The 24,266-nt window shown below is 47.0% G+C and overlaps 1 protein-coding gene across 23 annotated transcripts in view, besides 3 other annotated features; it reads left to right on the top strand.

Moving 5' to 3' along the window:
- The window catches only part of PIK3R6 (phosphoinositide-3-kinase regulatory subunit 6), a 64,956-nt gene that overhangs the window by 30,888 nt on the left and 9,802 nt on the right, over positions 1–24,266 (top strand). For 5 of the 23 annotated variants that reach the window (XM_047435443.1, XM_047435454.1, XM_011523683.3 and 2 more), the window contains 11 exons: positions 174–243; positions 1,334–1,517; positions 3,745–3,901; positions 6,998–7,084; positions 7,800–8,223; positions 8,600–8,678; positions 9,496–9,618; positions 13,293–13,403; positions 13,704–13,794; positions 14,133–14,203; positions 14,854–14,944. In XM_047435443.1, coding sequence (XP_047291399.1) covers positions 174–243; positions 1,334–1,517; positions 3,745–3,901; positions 6,998–7,084; positions 7,800–8,223; positions 8,600–8,678; positions 9,496–9,618; positions 13,293–13,403; positions 13,704–13,794; positions 14,133–14,203; positions 14,854–14,944 — 1,488 coding nt within the window. Of the gene's footprint in view, positions 1–73; positions 244–1,333; positions 1,518–3,744; positions 3,902–4,614; positions 4,774–6,997; positions 7,117–7,799; positions 8,224–8,599; positions 8,679–9,421; positions 9,619–13,292; positions 13,404–13,703; positions 13,795–14,132; positions 14,204–14,853; positions 14,945–17,591; positions 17,708–24,266 lie in introns of those variants that run through there. The other 18 variants (NM_001010855.4, XM_047435457.1, XM_047435449.1 and 15 more) reach the window with 16 other exon arrangements.
- Positions 3,490–3,569: an enhancer, noted in NCBI's record as "active region_11705". NCBI's record gives its function as "activates an Ori minimal core promoter by ATAC-STARR-seq in GM12878 lymphoblastoid cells {active_cell/tissue: GM12878}" and the evidence as "EXISTENCE:reporter gene assay evidence [ECO:0000049][PMID:35858748]".
- Positions 7,604–8,404: an enhancer, noted in NCBI's record as "H3K27ac-H3K4me1 hESC enhancer chr17:8731703-8732503 (GRCh37/hg19 assembly coordinates)". NCBI's record gives its function as "activates a minimal SCP1, AML or CMV promoter by ChIP-STARR-seq in naive H9 embryonic stem cells {active_cell/tissue: H9 hESC(naive)}" and the evidence as "EXISTENCE:reporter gene assay evidence [ECO:0000049][PMID:30033119]".
- Positions 8,405–9,205: an enhancer, noted in NCBI's record as "H3K27ac-H3K4me1 hESC enhancer chr17:8730902-8731702 (GRCh37/hg19 assembly coordinates)". NCBI's record gives its function as "activates a minimal SCP1, AML or CMV promoter by ChIP-STARR-seq in primed H9 embryonic stem cells {active_cell/tissue: H9 hESC(primed)}" and the evidence as "EXISTENCE:reporter gene assay evidence [ECO:0000049][PMID:30033119]".

Genomic DNA, 24,266 nt, shown 5'->3' with positions numbered 1-24,266 from the left:
TAAGAGTCACTGGGCATCTTTGTCTCCCACGCTGCACCTCCAACATTGCCCAGGGTCTTTCCTTTTTCTCCAGGATACCGGGGAGCTCAAAAGCCTCCACACCTTCTGTAGGAAGGTGGAGAATGGGAGTCAGAGACTTGGGGGCTGTTTGGCCAAAGTGGTCTGGTTTGCAGGGACACTGTACCAAAGGATGGTCATTGCCGAACAGAACTTGACGAATGAGCTGTATCCCTACCAGGAGAGGTGAGTGGCCCCAGAAAAATTGCTACCTTCAGCCTCCTAAAACTGTTGTGGCTTTAGTGACTGCTCCCTGGCAGGAGGACAAAAGAGGAGGCTGGATTAAGAAGAGCCCTAGCAGACCTCCCCAGCCATGATATTTGTCCAGCAGTGGGGTGCGTTTGCCATTCAAGGTTGGCGCCATATTGTTTTCTGGAGACCACTGAACACAGGATAGGTCTTTCTTCTCAGGTTGGATTGGAAGCTACCCTGCTCACATGCAGAAGGTGGACATGGCCTCGGGGCCACTCTGGGGCTCTGTCATTCCACCTCCATCCTGCCCTTGGCCATAATGCAGCATCATACCAGCCAGGCAGCCAGAGGAGACTCCAGAATAGCCATAGCGGAGGGGCTCAGGCGCAAGTGCACAATGAAGCCAGAGGGCTTCCATGGGGGACGCCAAGCCTCTTAGATAAGACTGAGGAAGTGTCCCCTGCTCGTGTTGGGGAGAGGGGTGATGAAGTTGGGAGCGGCACCTCCCTCTTCTGCAGGCACCTCCACTAACTTGGCCCTGAAAGGCACAGCTTGAGTTTGGGGTGTGAGGTGCTGAGTTCATGAAAGATGCAAGGAGGCCCAGGGCACCCATGGGAGAGGTGGGGAGACACAGTGGGTGAGGAGGAGGGAGTAGGGGAGGTTGGCTCTCTGGTGTGATAAGAGTGATGAAAGAAGGTGAGATTCACTCAGAGTTCAGAACTCCAGTTCTGGCAGGAAGGATTTAGGGTCCCTCCTAGAGGGTGACCTGGTCCCTGGGCCAGGATGCTGAGAGAGGGAGCAGGATTGAGGCTGGAACTTTCCTAAACATGGGACTAGGCCTGCTTTCCTCTGTGGACAGTGGATTAGAGCTGCCCCTCTAGAAGGGCTGTGCATGCTCTTATTTGCCACAGTCCTCACCACTCCCTATTGTCATCCCACCCAGAGACTTTTGAATCTGAGACTCCTCTTTTTAGCAGAATTAAATTACTTGGAGGTGCTGCACAGCTCTGAGGGTGCCCATCCGGTGGCCCCTCTCCCATTAGTTACTATCAATCCCACCTCTCCCCTCTGCTTCTGCCCTCAGAGTGTTCCTCTTCGTGGATCCTGAGCTGGTGTCTGCGTCTGTGTGCAGTGCTCTGCTACTGGAGATCGAGGCGGCCCAGGCGCAGCAGACACCAGAGACCTGCATGCGCCACGTGGTCTCCCACGCCCTGCAGGCGGCTCTGGGGGAGGCCTGTCACGCAGGCGCTCTGCACAGGAAGCTGCAGGTAATGGCCCTGCCTGCAGCCCCTTGTCAGTCCCAGCCCTCGTCCCTGCATGCCCATACCAGTCATTCACCCTGCTCTTCCTCCTTCTCCTGTTTCGCATCACCTTTTCCCCCAAATCAAAAATTAATACATTTTGGCTGGGCGCAGTGGCTCACACCTATAACCCCAGCACTTTGGGAGGCTGAGGCGGGTGTATCACCTGAGGTCAGGAGTTCAAGACCAGCCTGGCCAACATGGCGAAATCCAGTCTCTACTAAAGATACAAAAACTAACTGGCCGTGGTGGCGGGCACCTGTAATCCTAGCTACTCTGGAGGCTGAGGCAGGAGAATAGCTTGAACCCGGAAAGTGGAGGTTGCAGTGAGCCAAGATTGTGCCACTGCACTCCAGCCTGGGTGACAGAGAGAGACTCCATTTCCAAAAAAAAAACCAATAATAAGATATAAGATAATGCCAGTATTCCTAGCAGCAGGGTGAATGAGTGTCTCAGCCCCGAAAGCAGGAATCTGGGTCACCACAACAGTAGCTACTACATCATCTCACTCGGAGTCAAAGCCAAAGTGATTGCAATGACCTATAAGAGCCTGGTGTGGTGGTTCATGCCTATAATTGCAGGTACTTGAGAGGCCGAGGCAGGAGGATTGCTTAAGGCCAGGGGTTTGAGACCAGCCTGGGCAACATAGCAAGACCCCATTTCTACAAAAAGTAATAAAAAAAAAAAAATACCAGACGCAGTGACATGTGTTTGCAGTCCCAGCTACTCGGAAGACAAGAGGATCACTTGAGCCAAGTTCAAGGCTGCAGTGAGCTGTGACTGTACCACTGCACTCTAGCCTGGGTAACAGAGAGACACCCCATCTCTAAAAATAAAAATACAAGAACCTCATCTTGAGGGCCTTGACCTGTTCCCATCTCTCTTCATTTCCTCTCTGGCCTGTCTCCTAACTTTCCCTCTCATTTCCTCTGCTCCAGCTAAACAAGCCTCCTCATTTGTCTCCCAACATGCACATGCCTAACATACTTGCACCCCAGGGCCTTTGCGCTGGCTACTCCCTATGCTTGGAACGTTCTCTTAGATACCTGCACGACTCACTCTTTTTTTTTTTTTTTTTTTTTTGAGACGAAGTCTTGCTCTGTTGCCCAGGCTGGAGTGCAGTGGCGTGATCTCGGCTCACTGCAAGCTCCGCCTCCTGGGTTCACGCCATTCTCCTGCCTCAGCCTCTCTGAGTAGCTGGGACTACAGGCGCCGGCCACCACACCCAGCTAATTTTTTCTATTTTTAGTAGAGACGGGGTTTCACCGTGGTCTCCATCTCCTGACCTCGTGATCCACCTACCCCGGCCTTCCAAAGTGCTGAGATTACAAGCGTGAGCCACCGCGCTGGGCTGCATGGCTCACTCTTTCACTTCAAGTCTTTACCTAAAAGTCACTTTCGGCCAAGCGCGGTGGTTCACGCCTGTAATCCCAACACTTTGGGAGGCCAAGGCAGGCAGATCATGAGGTCAGGAGATCGAGACCGTCCTGGCCAACATGGTGAAACCCCGTCTCTACTAAAAATACAAAAATTGGCTGGATGTGGTGGTGCGCACCTGTAGTCCCAGATACTCGGGAGGCTGAGGCAGGAGAATCGCTTGAACCCAGGAGGCAGAGGTTGCAATGAGCCAAAGTCACACCACTGCACTCCAGCCTGGGTGACAGAGCAAGACTCCGTCTCAAAAAAAAAAAAAAAAAAGTCACTTTCTCAGGGGGGGCTTCCCAGATCACACAATCTCTTTTGTTTGCTGCTGTATCCCAGCCCCTAGAACAACACCTGGTGCAGTGAGCTATTCTAAGTGCTGGAGATGCAGCTATGAATGAAACAGACAAAATTCCCTGTGAATTCCTGGAATTCACAATCTAGTGGGGGCTAGAACATTGATCCAAGTGCTGGGTGACGCTTTCAGGAAGTGGGCGTCAGTGGCTATCTCTGCCTCTCTGGGTAACAGACATTGCAGACCAGTAGTCTCCCCATAATAGCGTGTGAGGGGCAGAGGGGAACCCCCACTTGCAGGGCAGGCATAGGGCCCTGGATGTGGGATCCAGAAGCCTTCGGGGGAAGCTCCTGCCGGGCCCCCAGGGGCAGCGGAGAGGTGTCACCTTGGGCTGCCAGGGCCCTGCGGACTTGGCTTAGGAGCTGGGGTGCGTGGGCGCTGGGCCAAGACCCAGGCTCTGACGCCCCTCCCCAACAGGCCAGCCCTCGCCGCACCCTGGAGCACTATTTCCACGCCGTGGTGGCCGCCTTGGAGCAGATGGCCAGCGAGGCCAGCCCGAGCCGGGAGGGACACGTAGAGAGGCTGGAGGAGATTTACTGCTCGCTGCTGGGTCCCGCGGCGGGGCGCTGCGGTGGTAAGCGACTGGCAGATGGGGGGCCTTGGCAAGAGTCCCGCGGGGGCAGCTCACTGCACAGCAGGGGGCGCCAGAGAGCAGCGCTGGACCTGCCTCTGTCTGGGTGCCTGGCCGACTCCCAGGAGCCTGGGGACTGGGGGCAGCCTGGGGGTTTGGCAGGACCGGGACTAAGAGGCGGGTAATTAGGCTGGGAGCGGTGGCTCACGCCTGTTAACCCAGCATTTTGGGAGGCCGAGGCAGGCGGATCACCTGAGGTCAGGGTTTCGAGACCAGCCTAGGCAACATGGGGAAACCCTCTACTAAAGTAGTAGAGGGTTTAGTCTCAAAAAAAAAAAAAAATCAGCTGGGCGTGGTGGTGGGCACCTGCAGTCCCAGCTACTCGGGATGCTGAGTTAGGAGAATCACTTGAACCAGGGAGGCGGAGGTTGCAGTGAGCCGAGATCACACTACTGTACTCCAGCCTGGGCGACAGAGCGAGACTCCGTCTCAAAAAAAAAAAAAAAAAAAAAAAAAGAAGGTGGGTAATTTGGTCATGATAACCGCCGATGCCCACAGAGCCCCTACTATACTCCAGTTGCTGTTCTAATCACCTTACATATATTTAAATATATTGCGTATACTGTATTAAATCAATGAAACCTCACAGTCAACTTATAAGCAGAAACTATTATTATCCCCATTTTACAGAGGACGAAACTGAGTTAGAAAGAGGTTAAATATCTTGCCCAAGATCACCCAAGGCAGTAAATGGCAAAGCCAAGATACAAATCCAGGCTGTCTAGTTCACTACTCAGCTGCAGTAATCCAAGGATTTGATCGTCCAAGGACCAGAGCATCTAAAAGAGCAGATGAGTCAACATCGTTTATATCTGGTATCATAGATTTTTATTCCTCACCCTTCCTATTTGCATATTTATAAGATAACGCCTTATCTTATGCAAGGCATAATGTAGGTAAGATAATGCCTACCCTGACACAAGCCCCATGTGGATGGGGGCATCTGAAATAGCCCAGAGAAACGTCCCGAATATGTGTTTCCTGGCTGTTGTAGGATGGTTCTGATTTGGGTCCTATTTCGTGGTCATTCAAAGTATCATGGAATATGTCAGCCTGCATGTCCCAGATATGCACAGTCACTGATCGTGCACCTGTCATTATAAGGCATGGGGTTAAGGACTGGAATCCACCGGAAGAGGTTAGTGTGCCAGGCCCTGGGTTTGAACTTGGCAGCCCAGGTTGGGTGGAGGCCACAGCAGTTGGGTGAGGTGGGCAGGATAGTCCCTGCCTAAAGACTCCATCTTCGAAGTTGTCCGCTCTTTTACTTTAACATTCTACACTGCCTCTGATCCCACATGGAAAAAGCTCCTCCTGTACCCCAAGCTGGGACTAACCCTGGGGCCAATCTGGCTTTGCTCCCCTTGTGGCCCCTTGCTAACACTCACCAGTGACTCTGCATGGATTAATTAAGACCATCTGGGCCACCCCCAAGACACATCCAAGGGCACCTGTCTCCTGCCCAGACTTGCCCTGTGCCTTTTTTTTTTTTTTTTTTTTTTTTTTAGACAGGGTCTTGCTCTGTCACCCAGGCTGGAGTGCAGTGGCTCGATCATGGCTCACTGCAGCCTTGACCTCCTGGGCTTAAGCGATCCTCCCACCTCAGCCTTTCGACTAGCTGGGACCACAGGCACGTGCCACCACACCTGGCTAAGCCCTGTGCATCTTTTTTTTTTTTTTTTTTTTTTTGAGACACAATCTTGCTCAGTCACCCAGGCTGGAGTGCAGTGGCTCAATCTCCGCTCACTGCAAGCTCTGCCTCCTGGGTTCACGCCATTCTCCTGCCTCAGCCTCCCGAGTAGCTGGGACTACAGGCGCCTGCCACCATGCCCAGCTAATTTTTTTGTGTTTTTTTAGTAGAGACGGGGTTTCACCGTGTTAGCCAGGATGGTTGCGATCTCCTGACCTCGTGATCCACCCTCCTCGGCGTCCCAAAGTGCTGGGATTACAGGCATGAGCCACCGTGCCCGGCCAAGCCCTGTGCATCTTAATGACCAGGCAGCACCCCCGTCAAGCCCCTGTGGCTGTAGGGGGCAGTATGGAGTGGTGATTATAAGCACAGTGTTGTGGGTAAGAGCAGGAACTCTGGAGCTGAGCTGCCTGGGCTCAAGTCGTCACTGTACTATTTACTATGTGACCTTGGGCCAGTTATTCAACCTCTCTGTGTCCTGGCTTCTCCCCTGTAAATTGAGGATAATAATGTCACCTGTTGCCCAGGGCCATTGGCAGGATCCAGAGAAATGATTACAGTGTGTGCCAGGTGAGTAGAATAAGGCCTGGCAGGCAGTAGGTGCTCAGTGAACACTAGCTGCTCTCCCCTAAGAAGCTTGCAGCCTCATGAGTGGGGAGCCACAGCAATATAGAAGTGAAACGGGAATACGGAGCCAAATCCTAAGACCACATGTGAGGTGTGCCCAGTGTGCAGACAGTCTGCTCGGAGGGAATGACCACCGCGGGCCACTGGAGTGGTCAGAAAAGATTCTAGAAAGAGAAGCAGGAAGAAGGGCTGTCCTTTGTCTCTCCCCTGGACTGCCCGGGGTTCCTGCTGCCCCCAAACTTTGTTGATGAGTTCTCGTCAGCATCGCCGACAGCTGCAAATGTTAACTGAGTGTCTACTGCATGCAAGATATTGGAAGCAGCCCTGAGAAGGGCAGGGGTCTTTCCTGCCTCGTCTGGATGCAGGCAGGGCATTTTAAGAACAGTGGGAAAGCCAGTCTGGCAGCTGCACAGGGCTGAAGGCATGGCCAGCATAGGAGCATAGGTTGGAAAAGGCCTTGTGAGCTGGTTTGTGAAGACCCCCTAAGGGTTGAGCTAGGTTTGAGAAAACGTAGCTACTAAGCATTGTTGGACAGGGAGGGGACAGCTGCACTGTTGGGCCCTGGATGGGCTGGTGGTGGCAGAGATGGAAAGGCAGACCAGATGTGAAGGAGAGAGTCCCTGCCACCTCTCTAAGACCCCGCACAGGAGCTGGGCAGGATGGGGAGGGCAGAGGAGGGTCCCATGGCCTCCTCCATGGCCTCCACAGCCTGCTCCTTTCTGCAGGTGACCTTGTCCAAGAGCGGCCACCAAGCATTCCCCTGCCCAGCCCCTACATCACCTTCCACTTGTGGACCGGTGAGGAGCAGCTCTGTACGTGCCCATGGAGCTGTCTGGAAACAGTGGTATATGTCTGTGTCTGTGTGTGTATGCGTGCATGAGTGTGTGTCAGTGTGCATGCGTGTGTCAGTGTGTGTATGCATGAGTGTGTGTCAGTGTGTCTGTGTGTGTATGTGTGCATGAGTGTGTGTCTGTGTGCATGCGTGTGTCAGTGTGTGTGTATGCATGAGTGTGTGTCAGTGTGTGTGTATGCGTGCATGAGTGTGTGTCAGTGTATGTGTGTGGATGCGTGTCAGTGTGTGTATCCATGAGTGTGTCAGTGTGTCTGTGTGTATGTGTGCATGCGTGTGTGTCAGTGTGTGTATCCATGCATGTGTGTGTGTCAGTGTGTCTGTGTGTGCTTGCATGGGTGTATGCGTGCATGCGTGTGTCAGTGTGTGTGTATGCATGATGCGTGTGTGTGTCAGTGTGTCTGTGTGTGTATGCGTGCATGCATGTGTTTCAGTGTGTCTCTGTGTGTGTGTCTGTGTGTGTGCACGTGTGTGTATGTCTGTCTGTGTCTGTACATGTGTATGTGTGTGCATCTGTGTGTCTCTGTGTGTGAGTCTCTGTGCATGTTCATATGTGTGTCTTTATGTGTCTGTCTGTGTTTCTGTGTGTGTGTATCCTCTGAAGAGGACTGGCTGAAATCAGAAACGTAGCCCTGCCAGCCTCACGTGTCCTCACCGCCCTTGTTCCCCCACCCCAGGGAAGGAACTGGTGCTCTTCCTCCGCCCAAGATCCCAGCTGCGCCTCAGTGCTGACTTGGAGGTCTTGGATCTGCAGGGCCTCCGGCCGGACCGGGAGTTGGCCCGGGTTTCTGTGCTGTCCACTGACAGCGGCATTGAGCGGGACCTTCCCACGGGGGCTGATGAGCTGCCTGCACCCGGCAGCCCTGAGATGGAGCGAGCCGGGCTGCAGCGCAAAGGGGGCATCAAGAAGCGTGCATGGCCCCTGGACTTCTTGATGCCTGGCAGCTGGGACGGGCCCCCAGGGCTGCACCGGAGGACAGGCCGGCCCAGTGGGGATGGGGAAATGCTGCCCGGCGTGTCCCGGCTGCACACAGCCCGGGTACTTGTGCTCGGAGATGACAGGATGCTGGGGCGCCTGGCCCAGGCCTACCACAGACTCAGGTGGGGCCCCGACGTGGGGGCTGGGGGTGGGCGCTGGTCAGGGGCACAGGTGGGCCTGGCGTGGGCTGGTGAAGGATCACAGGGTGGCAAGAGAGGGTCAGGAGGCAGAGGCCAGGGTGGGACGGAGGAGGATGCCGCACAGTGCCCGCAGCCGTCACAGAGCACCGCAATCCCTGCTTTGTGTTCGTTAGCTCCGTGAACCCTCATCACCATCCTGCGAGGGAGACATTACTGTACCCATTTTGTAGATGAGAAAGCAGAGGCTCAGAAAGATGACACAAATTGCCCAAGGTCAAGAGATAACAAATAGCAGAGCCGAGTCTGTTTGAAGCCAAGCCCCGCCCCTAACCTCCTCTGCTTTGCTGCCCATTGCTAGGAAACGGGAGACCCAGAAGTTCTGCCTCACTCCCAGACTCAGCCTGCAGCTCTACTACATCCCCGTGCTGGCGCCTGAGGTGACTGGACCGCGGGGAGGCGGTGGCGGGGCAGAGACAGGGCAGGCTGGGCAGGGACACACCTGCAGCCCCGCATCCCCCACATCCCCGGCTCAGGGACTAGAGTAAGCATCCTTAGAATGTGGAGGCGGGAGAGAGGTCAGCGGTCTTCTATTTCAGAGGCTGCAGACGGTGCTCTGGGGGTTGCATGTGGCCAGAGATTGGGTCTCTCTCTTGATGGCAGCCTGCTTGCTGCTATTTGTTTTGTTTTTGTAGGTAATGGAATTAGTTGCAAACTTCTCAAACACAGGGCGGTCTCTCTCTCTCTCTCTCTCTCTCTCTCTCTCTCTCTCTCTCTCTCTCTCTCTCCTCTCTCTCTCTCTCTCTCTCCCCTTCCCTCCCCTCTCTCATACACACACATACACACACACCCCACACTTTCTGGTATGACATGAAAGGAAATTGCAGGCAGTGAAGTCCATTGATCTAGTTGTGGGGACAGAGCCACACTTGCAGTCCTTACTCCTACCGCATGCTCCACTTCCTACTACACACTCCACTTCCTATTGGGAAGCAGTAAGGTCAAAGCCATACTTGTCTCTCCCCTTTTAAAGTCGGTGATCATTTTTCAATGTCCCTGCTGAGTGAACCTCAGCAAAAGATATTCTAGCTTCATCTGAGTTTATAAAACAGAACAACGACGTGTCTTCACATGCAGAAATTCATGCCCCAAGAGGTTAAATGACTTGACCATATTCACACAGCCTAGGCTGATGGCAGCTGGAAGGCAGAGCTGGAGAGAGGGCCTGACGGGTCTGCCCCATCCCCTTTCCCCCAGAAGCCTGCAGCATCCAGGCAGCCGGAGCTGGGAGAGCTGGCTACGTTCCTGGGCCGCGTAGACCCGTGGTACCAGAGCAACGTCAACACGCTGTGCCCCGCCATCCACAAGCTGGCTGAGATGGTAGGGGAGGGTGAGGGTACCAGGGAGGGAGAGAGGGACGGGAGTGGGGTCTGGGCAGAGGGGAGAACGGAGGAGCCCAAGTAGGCAGCGAGGGTGAAATGGGGGTGAGAGGGGGCCATCTTTTTGCTGCTGCACTTGACCTTTGACCTTAAGAGTCAGGTGGGATGAGACATGAAGGGAATTCAAGACAGGGGCCCTAACCAGATAGTGGCTTTGAACTCACTCGGGACACTTACCAGGCTCGTACTTTGGACCAGACCACCGTGGAAAAGACGAAGTAAAATATTCCTTCGTAAGTGTGTAGGGCAGTTATACTCCTTCTTGTGTGAGCTTCCTGTGATCCTTTTTCTTTTTTTATCATTTATCTATTTATTTTTATTTTACTTCACGTTCTGGGATACATGTGCAGAACATGCAGGTTTGTTACACAGGTATACATGTGCCATGGTGGTTTGCTGCACCCATCAACCCCTTATCTAGGTTTTAAGCCCCGCATGCATTAGATATTTGTCCTAATGCTCTCCCTTCCCTTGCCCCCAACCCCCAGACAGGCCCCGGTGTGTGATGTTCCACTCCCTGTGTCCATGTGTTCTCATTGTTCAGCTCCCACTTACGAGTGAGAACATGTGGTGTTTGGTTTTCTGTTCCTATGTTAGTTTGCTGAGAATGATGGTTTCCAGCTTCACCATGTCCCTGAAAAGGACATTAACTCACTCTTTTTTTATGGCTGCATAGTATTCCATGGTGTATATGTGCCACAATTTCTTTGTCCTGTCTATCATTGATGGGCATTTGGGCTGGTTCCAAGTCTTTGCTATTGTAAATAGTGCCACAATAAACATACGTGTGCATGTGTCTTTATAGTGGAATGAATCATTTTTCAATGATTGTAACAGCTGATGTTTCCTGAGCACTTATGCTGCACTGGGCACTGTTCTAAACACTTACACACAGGGCAGCTCATTTAATTCCCACAGCAGCCCAGAGGCAGGTGCCCCTGTTGGTAGGTACCATTGTCACCATAGCCCCGTTTTACAGATAGAGCAGCTGAGGCACAAAGAGATTAAGTATCTTGCCTGAAGTCACAGAATGAGTGGTGGAATGCCAGTTGGAAACAGGCAGCTTGACTCCAGAGCACCCTCTCCTAACCACAAACCCACACTGCCATACCCCAACCGTGGCTGGCAGTGGGGAGGGAACTCATCTTTTACTGATTTGAAAGGGCTTTTATATAGTAAGAGAATTCTAACTTTTTTGTTGTTACATATGTTGCAGATTTTTTTCCCATAGTTGTAACTTGCCTATCCACTTTTTGACTTGCAGAAGTTTAATACTTGGGTGTAGTCAGACATAGCACTTTTATTCTTTACAGTTTCTGCCTTTGGAGTCATGCTTCCAAAAGCTTAAATAAATGTTCACTGATAATTTAACACTTTCCATGTCTCAATTTTTACATTTAATTAATTGTCTATCTGCAGTTAATTTTATTGTTTAATGTGAAGTATGTCATTTTATTTTTTCCAAATGTTGAGCTAGTTGTCCTAAAGCTATTTTGCATAAACCATCTTGCCGCAGAAATTTGAAATGCCACTTTTATCATTTGCTAAATACTTACGTGTACTTGTATTTAGTACATGATACTAACATGTGCTTGTATTTAGTACGTGATCCTTACATGTGCTTGTAAGTATTTAGTACATACCTATGCTCTCATTGATTTATTCATTTCTGTACAAATTAGCCTTTTGATATTTTAATATCTGGCTATAGAAGCCTGCCTACCCTATTATTCTTCTTTTTCAAAACTTTTCAGAATATGCTTATTTCTCTTCCTGATAAACTTTAGAATTTCAAGTTTTGTTTTTGTTATTATTTTTAATCCTATTGGATTTCGATTGAAATTTGGGGAGAATTAGCATCTTTCGCATATTGAGTTTTTCTCTCTAGGAGCATGGTGTAGCTCTTCATTTGTCCAAGTGTCCTTATATATCCCTCAGTATAAGTGTAAAGTTTGCGTCATACAGCTTCTGTCCAATTCTCACTAAATTTATTACTCGTGTGTGATAGTGTTTCTTACTATTGCGAATGGTATCTTTATGCCATTATATTTGGGTAGTGCCTGCTGCTAATATAAAAGAAAGCTATTGACTTATACACATTTATTTACTTTAGTTTTAAAAACTGCGGTAAAAAATATAACATTAATTTACCACTTTTACATATCTGTTTTTTAACTTGTCACTGTACTGAGCTCTCCATTTTGCTTTATCATTTGACTGATGAGGGTGTCTTCTTACATATTTTATTCGAATAAGGATATTTAGGGGTGCACATTTTCTGGCTTATACCTGATCCGAAAATGTCTTTGCATACACACAAAGACCATTTAGCTGGGTATTAAAATACTTTTTCCTTGAAACTTGGATGCTATTACAGTGGGAACATTTGATGCAGGCCCCATTGGTGCTCCTTTGCTGGTAGCTATTTTTCTCCGCTGGGACACTGTAAGGTTTTGGTTTTCCCCTTCTCCTTGTAATTAACAATTTGAATGGCCCTATGCTTACTCCAAAAGCGGTTTCCACATGAAGATACCAGAAACAATGTGAGCAATGACAGCATTATTAGACTACGTTCATAGCTCCTCAGTGTGACCCTTTCGAAGGGAACAATATTTCAGTACACCAGATGTGAGAGATAGAAGAGGTCTTAGAGGATCGGATATGAGTTGGATGAGATCAACTCTGAGCTTCCTTCTAGCCCTGACACTATCACATTCTATGTAGATGTTCTGAAAACCCAGTCACTATGCTTTATCATCATATGGGACCAGGGAAGGACTGGAGGACAAGACGCATAGTCCATTCCCAATAACACGCAAACCTGAATTGTTTTATTTTATTTTGAGATGGAGTTTCGCTCTTGTTGCCCAGGCTGGAGTGCAATGGCACAATCTTGGCTCACTGCAACCTCCGCCTCCTGGATTCAAACGATTCTCCTGCCTTAGCCTCCTGAGTAGCTGGGATTACAGGAATGTGCCACCACATCTGGCTAATTTTGTATTTTTAGTAGAGATGAGGTTTCTCCATGTTGGTCAGGCTGGTCTCGAACTCCTGACCTCAGGTGACCCGCCCACCTCAGCCTCCCAAAGTGTTGAGATTACAGGTGTTGAGCCACCACACCCAGCCAATTAGTTTATTAATAGATGCAGAGACCACCAGAGCTGAAAGAGACATCAGATCATCTGGTTCAACCTCTCATTTTCTGTAGAAGGACACTCGGGCCTCATAGAGTTTGAATAACTTGCCCACGCCTGCTTGGCCAATGGCAAGTAGCCCATCCGAGCCTAGAACCCACTCCTGGGTCTCTCATTAGATTCACTCTCCAGCATCTTGTCTCCCTCAATCACTTAGCACAGTGCCTCACACATAGCAGCGCTCAGTAGTCTCTGTAGGATTGAAATCAGTCGGATTCCCTAGGGAGGCAGGGCTCTGGACAGGAATATTTTGATTGGGAGTGGAAATTCAGTGGTAGGAAAGGTTTGGAATGTGTTGAAGGACGCACTGGGTTAGTGCATCCCAGAGATGTAGGGGCTTGAAGTTTCTCTCTGAAGAAAATGGCATCTCCCACAGTGGCCTTGGGGGAGTTGGTGAAGACATTCCCTGTCTCCATCACAGCCTCCTTCCCTGGACACATCCCGGACTGTGGACCCCTTCATCCTAGACGTCATCACCTACTACATCCGCATGGGCACCCAACCCATCTATTTCCAGATCTACACAGTCAAGGTAAGCATCCCACTGGAGGCTCCAAGGGACCCCAGGACCCCACCGATTAAATACCCAGGCTCTGGGGAAACACTGGTCACCAGGCCACCAATCATGAACACACCCAGACGCTCTTGGTTATTAACGTTACCTTCTTCATCTCTAAATGAATCAGATCATTATTAACTTCAAGACCTCAAATCCAAGAAGTAGGTCTTCTTTATGTGGAAGGGTTCTCCATGGCCCTGGATCCCTGGAAATCAGGGATAGAGTGATTTGGAAATCACACCAGGAAATGCCACCCTCCCTTCCTCTCTCCAGATCTTTTTCAGTGACCTGAGCCAAGACCCTACTGAGGACATTTTCCTCATTGAACTGAAGGTGAAGATCCAAGATTCTAAATTCCCCAAAGGTAAGCATCTGCCTCCCTTTTGCCAAAGGTCACCCTGACTCAGCTTCTCCAAACTCTCATCCTTCCACCTCTCACCTGATGATGCCTGCACGCCCACACCCTCAGTGCTTGTCCCTGCTCTGTTCCCTACCTCTGCTGAATGCCAAGGCTGCTCTTGATCCCCTCCAACCCCCACAAGACTGAAAGGCATCCTGGCCCCCGGAGGTGTCACCTTTCCATCCAGGGAGATGGATGGATGGGTAAACCCAGCAGCTCAGCTCCTGCCCTCAGAGAGGTGGGGAAGTTAGGGCAAGAGGCCTGGGAACCTCCACCCCAAGCCTCTTCTCATCTCCCCACAGATGGCTTTTCACCCAGGAGGAGAGGCGTGGCTGAGGGCCCAGGGGCAGAGCTCTCCCTATGCTACCAGAAGGTCAGTGTGCATGGACGTGGTCAGTAGGTAGCCAAGAGGTACAGCTGGAGGGAGCAGGCCTCTGGGACAAGCAGGGAAGCAGATAGAGCCAAAGGAAGCTTCTGCCCCTTTTCTTGAAGCTGCCCGCAGAGTTCCCCAGCCTTCAGGGAGTTTTGCAGGGATGGGTGGGTTAAGTTGGCCTTACATGTAGACCAGGAGGTGATCAGATTTAAGGAACAAGGGGGCTGACCCCTTGCTAAAAAATATCTTCCTTGCTAGCTGACCAGAGGCTTGAACTGATTTCACTGGAGATTTATTCTTTGGGGTCTGGAAGGCTGAACATACTCTCTAGGACTAGAAGTGCTTTAAGCCTTTATCTGCTAGCACTTATGGGACCTTAGTGACATAGACAAAACCGGGTCTGGCACCGTGGCTCATGCCTGTAATCCCAGCACTTTGGGAGGCTGAGGCAGGAGGATCACTTGAGCCCAGGAGTTCAAGACCAGCCTGGGCAACATAGTGAAACCCCCTGGCTCAAAAAAAAAAAAAAAAAAAGACTCTCACAGCAGGGGTGGAAAACAGGGGAGAGAGGCAAGACTGTGGATGTGGGGATGCATGGGGAAAGGGTATGTCCTGAGCACCTCCACCTGTTCCTCGATCCCCCTCCTCAGGCCTTGCTTAGCCACCGGCCCCGAGAGGTCACCGTTTCCCTGCGGGCCACTGGGCTGATCCTGAAGGCCATTCCAGCCAGCGACACAGAAGGTGAGGAATGGGGAATGCAGAGCAAAGAAAGAGAGAAGAGATGAGAAGGGCAATGCTGGGGAGAGGGCAGAGTGGCAGGAGAAGGGGGAGCCCTCTCAGTCACGGAACTGGAGCCAGGACCAGGACTTGGTGACTGCCTTCAAGTTGCTTGCTGTCGGGTCACCCAGACTCTAGCACTGGCCACTGGATTGAGCCTCAGCAGCCTGCTGAGACATAGCTGGAAGGTGGAGGGACTCCGGGGAGGGGTTGCAGTTGGCCTCCTGCCACGGAATTGGGACTGCAGGACTAGTTGTCTTCTGTTTGGAAATTTAGGACTTTGACTGTCATTCCAAAAAAAATGGAGACAATAGAAAATGCCAATTTATGTGCATATAGTAAATTATAAATATTAGCTCATATTGTGAGCTCCCTGGTCTCCTGGAATAATGCAAAGGATGGCGATACGGATTATGAATATTGCAAACAAACACCAGAGGCCAGGCAGTGAAGCTTGTGAACCCTAGAAAATAGATACTATTAGTATTAGTAACTTTTTACTGGAGAGGAAATGGAAGGAAAGAGAATAACACACCCAACATCACCTCTGTGAGGAAGAATCAGAACTGGAATTCAAACCCAGGTATTCTCATGCAAGAGCCTATGTTCCTTACCACTGCCTCCCCCGGGATTGCCAAATCTCAACAGACTAGACTTAGGGGATGTTATCCGGTGATGCTTGTAGAAGATCATTTTGGAGCAAACAAGTAAGTTCACCCAGGCAGAATTATATCTTGTTCACCATCTATTCCCTTTGTCCATGACATGTCCTGGCATGTGGTAGATACTTGATCAATATTTCTAGAATAAATGAAATGCTACTTTACATTCAAAAATTTGTTTTAAAAATGGATGAACACATTTGGAATATTCCAGAAGAAATACGGAATGAAAATACACATAAGCCAGGCTGGAATGCTCATGAGGAAGCCAACTCTGATCCCTCCTCTCCTATCCAACCACGAGTATTTACTCCATCTCTGAAATCCACTGTGGCTTTGCTAGCATTCCAATTAAGGCGCCTTTCTGACAATAATGCATTTGTGTTCATAAGTGGGCATCATAGCTTCACAATTTCCTTAGCATCTGGCACAAAGAAGAAACTCAAGAAATTATATCACTTCCTAATAAAATTGCTTCCAGGCAAGTTGAATTTGTGGATGACATATAAAACTCCATCACAGCAGGACACTCTTTACCTGCAGCTCTTTAACACCATGAAGGAGACGCATAATTGTGGCAGTAGCTCTTAACCTAGAAGTGGCTCAGGAGCAGACCATCAAGGGCGCGGTGCCAGGGCCAGATGGGCAGGTCTCACACCCCAGCTTTGCCGCTGACTATCTATGTGACCTTAGATGTGTGAACTGTGTCCTCTCTACCTGTTTTTTTTTTCTAAAATGGAGATAATAAGTAGCTACTAATTTGTGTGCATAGAGTAAACGATAAATGTTAGCTCTTATTGTTCAAACTATATTCCTTCCATTTCTCTCACAGACTCTCCCCACTCCCAGCCCTACTCTAGACCCTATCAGAACCAGTCTGATGATGCCAGCACCCTCGGTAGAGCAGACTTCTACAAACCCTCTTTAGTTGGCAGGGAGGGACGAAGCCTACCAGCAGGCACACAGTGATGATTTTTGACACATTATACTCTATTAAGCAACCCTGTCTCTACTAAAAATACAAAAAAAAAAAAATTAGCCAGTGTGGTGGAGCCCGCCTGTAATCCCAGCTACTTGGGAGGCTGAGGCAGGAGAATTGTTTGAACCTGGGAGGCAGAGGTTGCAGTGACCGAGATCATGCCACTGCACTACAGCCTGGGCAACAGAGTGAGACTCTGTCTCAAAAAAAAAATATATATATATATAAAAATATATATATATATATAAAATATATATATGTATGTATACACATATATACGTGTGTGTGTATATATACATATATATGTGTGTCTATATATACATATATATGTGTGTGTATATACGTATATATGTATATACGTGTGTGTCTATATATACACATATATATGTGTGCGTATATATACATATATACGTGTGTATGTATATATACTTATATATGTGTGTGTATATATGTATATATATGTGTGTGTGTGTGTGTGTATATATATATATATATATGCACAAAAAAATAATAATAAAAAAAGAAAGTAAAAGAAACCTTGACCTGTTGGCACTGATGCCCTCCTCACCCACTTGGAGCCTCTGTCCTGCACAACATCCCTGGGCAGGTGCTTCTTTCATTCTTAGCATGCCCAAGAGCTGCAGGAAGTTCAAGAGAACTTCTAGAATTTTATTCCTTTTAAAAAGGGTTGCAGGAGGAGATAATGAAAGGGTAGGGCGTGCGGATTTGGGTTGGTGATGGCCGCTGACCTGAGGATACAGAAACTTGTGGATTCACCAGGGAAGGAAGATGGATGATTGAGAAGGAAACGTAACTTGGCTGGGACCAAGCAGATTCAGAAAGTGGGGGCCCAAGGAGGAGTGACAGGGCTGGGGGTGTCAAGATGGGTTCCTGGAGATCTTGAGACCTAGAATATCAAACTCCCCTACTTCCCTGGAGGTCCATTTACAGCCCCACCCATCTCATTCAGTTTCAGGGTCTAGCCATTGCCCCCTGCCTGCTGCTCCTGTCACAGACCACACATGTCTGAATGTCAACGTGACAGAGGTTGTCAAGTCCTCCAACTTGGCGGGAAAGTCCTTCTCTGTAAGTACTGAGTAGACTGGGAAAGGGAGACAGCCAGCTGGGACAGCAGTAGGTGGCTGGGAGCCCAGAGGGGAGGGCATTCAGAGAAGGGAACTGACTTCCCAGCCTTTCTGAGCCTTTGCTATTGGAGTGGGTCTTCCTGTTGGAAGGAATCCGCTTTTCAATCAGTCTGTTTGAAGTGCAGAGTGCCCACTGGTATAAGGAAAGCACTTTAAGAGTCAAAGCCCTGCCCTCCATCTGCTGACCATTTGAGGACCCAAGACATACCCAGATGACTGCAAAATGCACCTATGTCCAGTCATCCCAGCCACCACACCACAGCCAGACTCCTAAACAACAACAGCCCAATCTGTGGCCAAATCAGACCAGCTCTCTCAATCCCCTTACCCTTTGCCCTTTAGCCTTTGCTCATATCAACAATTTTTTTTTTCCTCAAGACGGAGTCTTACTCTGTCACCCAGGCTGGAGTGCAGTGGTGCAATCTTAGTTCACTGCAACCCCCGCCTCTCAGGTTCAAGCAATTCTCCTGCCTCAGCCTCTCCAGTAGCTGGGACTACAGGCGTGCACCACCTCGCCCAGCTAATTTTTGTATTTTTAGTAGAGACAGGGTTTCGTCATGCTGACCAGGCTGGTCTCGAATTCCTGACCTCAGGTGATGCACCTGCCGCAGCCTCCCAAAATGCTGGGATTACAGGTGTGAGCCACCACGCCTGGCCAGTACTTACTGATACAGACATAAGACTATCCATTTCCTCTCTACCCAGTGGCCTCTCTGGACTTCACTTCCCCACTTAGCTTGGCTTTGGTGCCCCATGATTGCGCCTGAACCATGTTCTCACTGATGTCCTCACTCCCATGCACCACCCAGCAGGCTTACGCACCGATTTAGGTCAAGCCACCTGCTTAGTCTGTATGCCCAGGTGGCCAAGTGCTTCTGGAATAACCCTGCATCCACATTGATTAGATCCACAGCAAACTCATGACCTCCCGCTCACGCGGATCCTTGGGATCACTCAGCCCTTTCCTCCCCCTCCCCCTCCAGGCTCTTCTCTATCTGTTTGCAGTTCTCTTTCCCCAGCTTTGACCTCTTCCTCTCCACTGCTCCTTCCGCTTAGCCTACACATGCTCAGGTCTTTTCCATCTTAAAAGAAAAAAAAAAGGAAAAAAAAAAAAACAACTCTGCCATGACCCAACTACCTCTCTAGCTACCCACTGCATCTCTTTCCTTCCCTTCTCAAGTCAAGCTCCTTGAAAAGTACTTCTAGAAGAGTTTCCAGCCCCTTATCAATAACTCTTCTACCCACGACCACCTGGTTACACATGTCCTGCTGTGGCAAAGTCACCTCCATGTTGCCAAAACCAGTGGTCACTATTTAGCCCTTATATTTCTTTATCTTTTAAAATAATGTTTTTGTTTTTTTTGTTTTGTTTTGTTTTTTTTCGAGACGGAGTCTCACTCTGTCACCAGGCTGGAGTGCAGTGGCGCAATCTCGGCTCACTGCAACCTCCGACTCCCTGGTTCAAGTGATTCTCCTGCTTCAGCCTCCTGAGTAGCTGGGATTACAGGCACATGCCTCCATGCCCAGCTAATTTTTGTATTTTTAGTAGATACGGGGTTTCACCATGTTGGCCAGGATGGTCTCGAACTCCTGACCTCATGATCCACCTGCCTTGGCTTCCCAAAGTGTTGGGATTACAAGCGTGAGCCACCATGCCTGGCCAAGATAATGTTTTAACCTATAAACAAAAGTTTCATTATTTATTTTGGAAAATATAAAAAAAGCACAAAAAGTACTTTCACTAGTAGTCCCAATCCCTGGAGAGAATGACTATTAACATTTTCAGGTGTAATCACCAATCCTTTTTTTCTAGATATTTTAAGATAATTGATAGCTACACTACATACTGGTCTATACCTTGGTGATTTTAACTCAAAAATATACTAAAGCCTTGTAAATAGGTCTTGATGGGACATTGCTTTGGTATTAAATATGTTTTGTGTCATTAAGCATATGTCAGTATTTATTATATGATGGTTGCATATACCTGTATAATTATGTAAATAAATTCTAAGACGACATTTAAGTAAGTTCTCATTTTTCACTATTACAAGCGTAGTGTGAGCAATTTCCTTAGGGGTAAGTATGTGCTAAAAATCATGGTTATGTCTTTTTAGAAGAATGCCTAGAAGTGAAATCATTCAGTCAGGTGGCATCCTTTTTATATATTTTGCCAAATTGCCCTCTAGAAAGTCTATACCAAGTTCCAATCTGATTGTAGTGTTTGAGTGCCAATTTTTCAGCACAATTCAGATAGTGATTGATTTTTTCATCTTCACAAATTTGATGATCAAACTTTTCATTGTTTTGTTTCTTTTATTACCAATTAGTGAAATTGAATACTTTCTTGTATTTCTATTTCTTCATTCTTACATTTCCTATTTGTATTCTCATCCCATACTAATATCCTATTTTGTAGTGTGAGGACATTAACCCCTTATTTGTCATAAATTTTGGAAATACTTTTCCCGCTTTGTCTTTTGATGCTTTTTTAACCTAAAATAGCCTTATATTGTGATGTTGCAAAATCTACTAATCATTTTCCTTTAATGATTTCTGACTCTGATATGATTAAACATTATATATGTCTAAAGACCATATTTCCTTGAATTTAAGGCATACCACAATTTTACATACTACTAAGAAAGAAACAATGCTTCCTAAACTATGGACAATGCTCTCTTATCACATTGGTTGCAAAATACTCCCTAATTAGAGATGTTAAAATGTGTTTTAGAATCAATGAAAATGGCATGCCTGTTTAATAGTAGTATGCTGTTCCTTCCTTGTGGTTTTATTCTTTCTTTTATTTCTTCACTCATTCTAAACATATTTATTTTATAATCTGATTTATGTAATTACATTATCTGTAATTACTGGGAGTCTAATCCTTCTGTTTATTGGGTTCACTGACCCCCTCCCCACAGTAGCTTGTTTTTCAATTATGAGTTCATATTTCTTGGGGCTTTATCTGTGAGGAAACTGGGTGGAAAAATTTTCCTTCTAGAGAAATTCTGAATTTGTTTTTGCCAACAGCCTCAGAGATGTTATCAACTCAGGACCATATTTTGAGTCCAGTTTTGGCTGAGAAATTGCCAGACCACGAAGATAGTGTACATGTGTACCCCAAATTCACATCTGGATGGGCTTGTAGATAAAAATTTCCAGGAAAGACTTGCCTTCCTCACTCATCGCACAAGCCAAAGCAGACGGGCTTTTTTCTGTGGTCTTCCCTATTTCTGTGTTTGTTTGTTTGTCTGTTTGTGTCTTTTGTTTTATTTTGCTTTCTAGTCTTTCACTGAGCTTGTAGCCTTCAAGAGTCCCTGCTTCACATAACCCCACACCATTGCCTCCCATCCCCACGTGGCTATTTAAACCCAAACCCTTTGATTCCTGAGTTTATTAGCAAATGCTCCTAGGACGGCCAAAGCATCTGACTTACACAATTTCAACTTCTTTGGAATGTATTGACATTTTCTTTGTTGCCTGGTACGTGATCAACCTTTTTTTTTTTTTTCTGAGACTGAGTCTCACTCTGTTGCCAGGTTGGAGTGCAGTGGTGAGATCTCGGCTCACTGCAACCTCTGCCTCTCAGGTTCAAGCGATTCTCCTGCCTCAGCCTCCCAAGTAGCTGGGACTACAGGCGTGTGCCACCACACCGTGCTAATTTTTGTATTTTTAGTAGAGATGGGGTTTCACCACGTTGGCCAGGATTGTCTCTATCTCTTGGCCTCGTGGTCCGCCTGCCTTGGCCTCCCAAAGTGCTGGGATTACAGGAGTGAATGATCAACTTTTTAATATTCAATGGCAACTAAAAATACATGTTTGTTTTCTATCTATAGAATATATAAAGTATGAAGTTTAATTATTAAATCAAACATATTATATTACTGTAGTCTACAAATTTAAAATATTTTTTGTCTACTTCATCTGGCCAAAACTGAGAGAGGTTTGTGGATGTTCCTGCTATGGTTTTGATTTTGTCGATTCTGTCTGGATTTCTTTGAATGTGAACTTTCTTTTAGTTTTTGATGCTGCTGTTGTATAATATGGTGCCTTCTTATGCCTAGTCTTTGTATGAGACTTTTTTTTCTTTTCTCTCTCTCTTTGGAAGCCATAAATACTAAATTTCAGAGAAGATTCTGAATGTCACAAGAATATACCTTGGTGGGATCTTTTTTCATTCATCATTTTGGACCTTTGATGGACAATTCTCAATCTGGAGACTCACATCTTTCAATTCTCAGATATTTTCTAATACAATCTTTAAAATAATTTCCTTCCCTTCATTTCTTTGCTTTCTCTTTCTGGAACTATGAATAGTAGGATGTTTGACCTCCTAAATTAATGCTCTAATTTTCTCATCTTTTTTCTCCCATTGTCCTTCTTTGTCATTTCTTCAATTTTGGGGGAGTTTTCTTCAAATTCATTTTTTGAAAATTTAGGCTATTTAAGGACTCTTTCTTGTTTTATGGTTATTTGTTGTCTCTCCTAATATGGTCTCTTGACTGGGCACGGTGGCTCATGCCTATAATCCAAGCACTTTGGGAGGCAGAGGAGGGCGGATCACGAGGTCAGGAGATCGAGACCAGCCTGGCCAACATGGTGAAACCCCACCTCTACTAAAAATACAAAAATTATCTGGGCATGGTGGTGCATGCCTGTAATCCCAGCTACTTGGGAGGCTGAGGCAGGAGAATCATTTGAATCTGGGAGGCGGAGGTTGCAGTGAGCCGAGATCACGCCATTGCACACCAGCCTGGGCAACAGGGTAAGACTCTGTCTCAAAAAAAAAAAAAAAAAAAAAAGATCTCTCTCTGAACTAAAGAGTGGAGCACTAAAAACCTGGGTCAATGGTGGGCTTCTCAGTGGGCAGTCAGAAGCCCATGGTTCTTTCTGTGGGGGGATCCCAGATGTCAGTATCTGCAAGTCTCTTTGCTAGGATAGTTTTGTTTTTCCAGAAATGAGTCCTCTGGGCTCCTGCCTCAGCGAGTAAAGGGGGCCAGGGATGAGGGGTGGGTAAGCCTGCTTATTATGCCTGTCACTCTGGAGCTGGGATAATTTCACTTTCTCTTTTCCAATTTGGATGCCTTTTATTTCTTTCTCTTTTCTGACTGCTCTAACTAGGACTTCTGTTATGTTGAATAGGAGTAGTGACGGTGGGCATCCTTGCCTTATTCCAGTTCTTAGAGGTAATGCTTTCAATTTTTCCCCACTCAGTGTGATGTTGACTGTGGGTTTGTCATATATGGCTTTTATTATTTTGAGATATGTTCCTTCTATTGCTACTTTGGTAAGGGCTTTTATCATGAAGAGATGCTGGATTTTATGAAATGCTTTTTCTGAATTTATTAATACAATTGCATAATTTTTGTTTTTAATTATGTTTATGTGGTGAGTCACATTTATTGATTTGTGTATGTTGAACCAACCTTGCATTGTTGGAATAAAACTCACTTGATTGCAGTGCATTATCTTTTTGATTCACTGTTGAATTTGGTTTGCTAGTACTTTGTTGAGGATTTTTGCATCTATGTTCATCAGGCATATTGGTCTATAGTTTTTTTTGTTGTTGTTGTGTTCTTGCCTAGCTTTGGTATCAGAGTGACTGACCCTGGCTTCATAGAATGAATTAGGGAGGATTCCCTTCTTCTCAATGTTTTTTGAACGGTGTCAGTAAGATTAGTATCAGTTCTTCCTTGTATGTCTTGTAGAATTCCACTGTGAACCCATCTGCTCCTGAGGTTTTTTTTAATTGAGAGTTTTTTTTATTACTAATTCAATTTCATTACTCATTATTGGTGTGTTCAAGATTCTATTTCCTCTTGGTTCAATCTTTGGAAGTTGTATGTTCCTAGATAAATGGAATTTATCCATTTCCTCTAGATTTTCCTGTTTGTGTGCATAGAGATGCTTATAGGTCTCTGATGATCTTTTGCATTTCTGTTGTATCAATTGTAATGATACCTTTCTCATTTCTGATTGTGCTTATTTGATTCTTCTCTCTTTTTTTCTTGGTTAACTTAGCTAGTGGTCTATCAATTTTGTTTATCATTTCAAAGAACCAATTTTTCATTTCGTTGATCCTTCGTATTTTTTTGTCCCAATTCCATTTAGTTCTGCTCTGATCTTTGTTATTTTCTTCTGCTAGCTTAGGGTGTGGTTTGTTCTTATTTTTCTAGTTCCTTGACATGCAACATTAGGTTATTGATTTGAGATCCATCTTTTTTATATAGGCATTTAACACTATAAACTTCCCTCTTAGCACTGCTTTTGATGTACTCCAGAGGTTTTGGTATGTTGTGTCTCTATTTTCATTCATTTCAAAAATTTTTTTATTTCTGCCTTAATTTTATCATTGATGCAACAATCATTCAGGAGCAAATTATTTAATTCTCATGTATTTAAATAGTTTTGAGGGTTCCTCTTGGTGTTGATTTCTAGTTTTATTCCACTGTGGTCTGAGAAGTTACTTGATATGACTTCAGGTTTTTAAAAAA

Source organism: Homo sapiens, chromosome 17 (genome assembly GCF_000001405.40).
Source record: "Homo sapiens chromosome 17, GRCh38.p14 Primary Assembly".
Taxonomy (NCBI): Eukaryota; Metazoa; Chordata; class Mammalia; order Primates; family Hominidae; genus Homo; species Homo sapiens.
Note: the sequence above shows the minus strand (reverse complement) of the source record. Positions and strands in the feature narration are given on the sequence as shown.